The sequence below is a fragment of the Homo sapiens genome, chromosome 13, assembly GCF_000001405.40.
Source record: "Homo sapiens chromosome 13, GRCh38.p14 Primary Assembly".
NCBI lineage: Eukaryota > Metazoa > Chordata > Mammalia > Primates > Hominidae > Homo > Homo sapiens.
Genome location: NC_000013.11, coordinates 64,526,449 through 64,532,770, shown reverse-complemented (window position 1 = coordinate 64,532,770; position 6,322 = coordinate 64,526,449).

The following is a 6,322-nucleotide window of genomic DNA, read 5'->3' as shown; positions in this document are numbered from 1 at the left end:
ACATGGATGAGCTTAGGAGAAAATTCACGAGGCTGACTAACATTGGGTTGAGCAAAAAATCTTCGCCACTTGAAGAAAAAAATTAAAATTTCAAGAGAAATATAATACTTCATTTAAAATGCCATTGATGTTTACAACAGTACATTTTACACAATATTGTGGTATTTTAAGGATAATAGAAATTATCTAGCTATAACTAGCTATAATGATTTTCTGCATATGAATAGGCTAAAATAGCAGCATTAATATCTTCTCTACCAAAAAAAAAAATTACTTAGTCACATTTAGCTTGTCTTATTTTCCTGTACTAAAAAAGAAAAAAAAATAGTATGGTGACTATAGCCCACTAAAATGTGATCTAGTTTTTTGTTTCATTTTGTTTATTTTATTTTTATTTTTTTCTCTGGAACATAATCTTATTTTATTTTGCAAAATATCTGGTTTATATTACTCCAACCATAAACAAAATTGTAGATGTTTACAATAAAAATGCAAAATTTAAATGCAGAAATAGGACATGACAGTTAATATTAGAATGGATTTCAAGTTTCGTGTTCCATTTAGAATCATAGAAATTGTAAGTATTTTCACTTAAACTTTGTTTACAGTATTATGATTTTTTTTCTTTGACTCTTACTTTTGGTAAACACAGATTTTAACAACTGTTGAAGACCAGAGTATGCCACCCCCAAATATGAAGTATTGTTGAGTCGAAGACAATTAAGAATAAGCAGATGCAGGAAAGGTCTCTACCCTCCTATTTGCCTAAATGAAGGATGTCAACTTTCAACAATGAGATTTAGAAAATATGATTAAGTAGAGAGTTTATTCAAGTTCAAAACTTGAGGATCTCCGCTTGGGTAACAAAGACTCTAAAAGAATGGGGGTCAGTGCTCCAAAGTGGGAAAGTTATAGTTTCACTTACATAGGCAGAGATAGATAAATTTAACAGAGTTGCGGCATTTTCCACACAAGGCCAATACATACATCATAGTGATTTAATTGATTACAGTTTGCTACATCACAAGTAAGATTGCTTTAACATTACTTAAAAAGGGGTATTAGACCCATGGGGGCTCTTTTCCATGGTGCTTTTAAGTCTTTCTTAATCATCTACAATACAAGAATAAGAAAGGAAGTTAAAGGAGAATTTGCAACAACATGTCACGTGACTCAAGCCACAGCGTCACGTTCCTCTCGAGGCTCAAATAATTTAAAGTTCTCCCTAGAAGGGAGAACAAATCTTAACTACTGAAAACAGCTTTAGATGCTTATCATCTGAAAAAGAGACAAGAAAAAGAGACTAGCAAAATCTACATTACTAGGCTTTAGTAACTAGCCTTTACCTGCCATTTGTTGGCCTTCTCAAAAGTTACAAGTCCTCTCTTTTTGTCTTGTCACTTCTGTAAAAATTTACTGTTAAAGAACAAAGGTTGACAATGCTGTATAAATTGGAATTCAAAACTACCTCTTTGGTAACTCCTCATTCCCTGGGTGTCTCCTCTGTATATATGAAATGTACATATTATACAGGTGAAGAGAATTTTTCCTCTCCCTATGAGTGATTGAGTTTGCTGAAATAAACTGACAATAGGCAGATCAACAGGTGAAAAGGTGTAAAAATGTATTAACATACTTAAGCACAGGAGCCACACAAAATATGAGAGTGGAAATAGGGCCAGTTAATTGAAGCTTAACCACTCTTATAGCTGCCCAGTGGGTTCACCTTGCTCCCTGCCTAGACAGAGCCAATTTATCAGGACAAGGGAACTGCAATAGAGAAAAAGCAATTTATGCAGAGCTGGCTGTGTGAGAGACCAGAATTTTATTATTCCTCAAATCAGTCTCCCTGAAAACTCAGAGATCAAGTGGGTAGGGCACCAGTGAGTCAGGAGAGCTCATTGGTTGGCTCGGGTATGAAGTCATAGGGAATCAAAGCTATCCTCTTATGTTGAATCAGTTCCTGGGTGGGGGCCACAGAACTGGTTGGCAGGTCCAGGTGGGGCCATCTGGTTGTCAGAAATGCAAAAACTGGCAAAGACATCTTGACAGGCCAATCTTAAGTTCATAGTAGTGATGTTATTCTCAACAGTAATTGGAGAAGTTGCACATATTATGACCTCTGGAATAATGGTTAGTAATAGTTAGAATTGCAGTCCCTCTCATCCTTACTTTGCAGCTGGTGGCCTTTCGTTCATTTTACAAGAACGGTTTAGCTTTTGGGAAGGACTATTATTTAAAGTATGAACTAAATTCCTTCCCAAGCCTAGTTTGACCTACACCCAAGAATGGATAAGGACAGTTTAGAAGTTACAAGCAAGATGGAATTGGTTAAGTCTGATATCTTTCACTGTCATAATTTCCTTAGCTATAATTTTGCAAAGGCAGTTTCACTCTTGTCACAGGGGAGAGGCAAGTGGGGAACTGTAAGCAATTTTAGAGGGGAAAGAAACTTTTAGGGAAAATAAATGGACCCAGGAAGCAGACATTATGTTTTAAATGATTCTCTGGAATTTAAATGAGTCTGAGATACAGGCAATATCTTGTGACAAACTGTCCAGGTGTGATTACATTTCTCATTCTTCTACCTGAAATAGTGACATTTCAGGGAGGGGGCAAAAGGCAATTGTGTTTTTGGTGGTAGGTATGGTTTTAAAGTAGTAAGGAAATTTCAGAGAAAAACTCCCCCTGCTGGGGGGTGGGAGGAAAACAGGAAAGGTCAGAAAGTTTTCGAGTTCCAGGCCAATTCCAAAGCCTCCCTATAGAAGTTTTAGGTGTTCAGCATACCAAAGCAACAAACTTTGTGGGTATTATTTTCTGAGACGCAACAAAATGGGTCATGTTTTGTTTTCTTTCTCTCATTAAGTCTGTCTTTTATTACAGGGGTGCTTTCTAAGAACCTATGAGAGTTGAAGGAAAAATTAATTTTCTTACCCCTATGCAACTCTTTGTAAAATAAGTGAATTTATTTTATTGAATAGCAAATTTTATTGAGATGATTGGAAAACAGCAAAATATTTGAGAAATTTGTCATTATAACAATCAATACATAGCATGAAAGGATCTAACGTAAGTGGAAAATAGCATGAAACGAGAAGGCTAATAATGAAATCCAGATTCTCTTTAATACATTCTATTTTACCATTTGACAAAACCATATCTAAAAAGCACTTAAGAGAAAATCATCTGTACATGTGATTAAGGTAAATTTAGGGGTTTAAGTGAAATGTTTGGACAAGTACCAAAACCATTTTATAAAATTTGCAATGAAACAAACTTTTGGGTGCAGCTGCAAGGTTGGATATATACCTGCATAGACTAAAATTTAACCATCTCATCTCATTTTTGAATGAAAATAAATTTCAATTACTCTTACAATATTTCTGAAATGTAAAACAAAACTTAATTTTACTTTTCCCATTTCTATTTTTAATGCCTTATTTAAGTGACAGACTCCAACAAACTATCTAAATAATGTGCTCCTGTTAACTTTCTTTAATATGCCAAATCAGTTTAATTACAGTTTCTATAAATAATCTATGCAAAATACTTCCCTGAAAAGAATGCACTTTTCCTTCTGTGTGTGGCACATTTTAATACTTAAAAGCATTAGAACAGATGTTAGGTGCCTGCTAAACTTGTTTTCAGTTTTCTTTTATTTATATGTTAATGAGAATTTAATTACTTCATGAATACTTAAACAACCTGAGGATGCCTGATATCATTAGCTTGAACATGACAAGCACCTCAAGTGACCACATGGGAAGACAAAAATTGCTTTTAGTTTACTTGAAGACAGAAAGATGAATTCATTTCACCCCCTGCTATGTTTTACCTGACACACAAAACTGAAAAAGCACAGACTCAGTCTTGCTTCAACGTGACTGAAAGGATTTCAGCAAAGCACTCAAGAGCATAAATTCTTCCTATTTGGTTTTGCTTCGATGTCTTTTAATAACTACTCTAGCAATACTCTGCTCTAAAATCTTATTTCACTTGCAAGTGTTCTGTTAAAGCAAGTCACTCTTTTTTATGTATTATTTCTATGGTAATCTTAGCAGAACTGTGAACGTTTAAAGTATTATTTATGTCACTGAAAAATGTCTCCATTTAAGCTCAATTGAAAGGTTTTATTTAGCTAAATGGTAGGAACTCATGTAAAGCAAATAACATTTGTAAATTTTTGCATATTATTTTTACGAGCACAAATGGTGAGTTAAATATAATTGCACTAAAAACATTGATTATAAAATTTTACAGATATAAATATGGATCAAATAATTCTCCATAGTGATCATATATTCATTTTAAAAAATAAATTTTTTATAACAAAATACTGTAAATTAACATTAAATATTGTCCTCTAGAAGGTGAAAAATATTCAACACACCAATATGCACTTTTATCCACTGCGTAATATCTGGAATGCAGAGGGAATTGTAAGGGATATAATAAGGATCCATTAGAGATAAAACACAGTATTCTGAAAGAGAAGAAAAGATAGAAAGTTTCAAAGAAAAAGGACTTATAAAAAAACTATTTTAAAACCATGCTTCTATATCTTTGACATGGTTAAATTTGCTATAGTTGCCTCAATGTCCTTTGTAGATTCGAAAAATTTTCATCATTTATGATTGAGAAATAGTTTCCTATATTTGAAGATATTTCTATAATTTCTGATTTATATTTTCTTTCCTTACTATTTGCTAGGAATAAAGATGATAGCTTGTAGATAAAGGTAATTTGCCTTAGAATAATATTTCTAAAATATTTTCCCAGAACAGGTTTTATTAAAACAAAACACTTTTTCAACATATGCTGACATTAAAAAGAAAAACAGCAAAACAAATAACAACCAAAAGGATTAACCAGTTTCCCTAAGAGTAGAATTTACCCAAACTTTTAGTAGAGTAATATAATTTGTGAATCTCTCTGAGGAGCCTGGATCAGAGTTTTGCACAACTTGGGCCTCGGACATGATGAGGTGGCTTGAGCTCTGGGGCCTTTACAAGTCTGGACTGGTTCTACCTAGCTGCTGTGGCCTTGAACTTCATATTTGCTTCAGCTAAAACTGCTGTGGCAAACAAATAGCACCATACTCTGCATGTGCTATAACATGGCAGCATTAGCATTCCTGGTGTTCAGTCTGCAACATTTCTCAAACTTATCTGATCAAAATCTCCCTTGCGATTATTGTACTGAAAAACACTTAGGAACTAGTAGGCAAGAGTAATTTCTTTTTCAACATTCTTTATCTTATGTGTGGAAAGGTAAATTCATTTATACTTCAATGCAATATATTTTTTTACCCCATAACAAAATACCATCAAATATTATATATGTAAAACTATATATATGTAAAACTATATATATGTAAAACTATATATATGTATATATATATACACACACATACACACACAGACACACACACACAAAGTTCACAAGAATGATTTAATACACAGAAATACCTCTTATGGAAGAAAATCAAATAGAGGACTACTAGAATTAACTTTTATTCAAAAACATCCCATATGACAAGGCTTTTAAAGAGCATTCTAACTTAGAAAAGGAGGAAGGAATGGTTTTGGGGGCTTTACTAAGGCAGATTGGAGGGTGTCACACAAGTTTCACAGAGAGGAAGACCTTCTTCTTTCTGATTTGCTGATTGCCAACCATTATTTGGGCAATTTGGATTTTACCAAGATGGATAAAGAGGAACATCTTAGAACCATGGTGGAAAATTCTCCATATTTCTGGGTCTGTCACAATTAATCAGGAAATTATATTATTGGGCCTACAGAGAGAGGAATCAAAATATTTTTATTAATACTGTAATATGCATATTTTTGTATTTTGCCAGAAATATTCAGCTTATTTGACACTTACTGGATGATTCTTGAGCTTCTTTTTCAAAACTTCATGTCTTGTATTTCATCCAAATCAGAGATTTTGCAAGTCACGACAACTAATTAATAGCTGTTATTGACAAGATCTACATATAGCCAAAAATGTAATAGAGTAGTAAGAGAAGGAGCAAAAACTATCTTAATACAAAGCAAAATATGTATCTCTGGGGCTTAAACACAAGGGGAGGAAATCTTTTTTCAGTGTTGGTTTCTGTTAAATATACCATTGTTCTTAAAACTAATTTTCATAGTATACATTCTTTAAAGGATGTGTAAATGGACTAACGATGCATTGACAAAGAAAAATTTGCACTGAACACTTGTTAAAAACAACGAGGAACTTTCTATAATAATGGTCAAGACTATTGCCATGTGGGAGACAACTTGTAATCTACTTCTTTGAAATAAAAGATGGA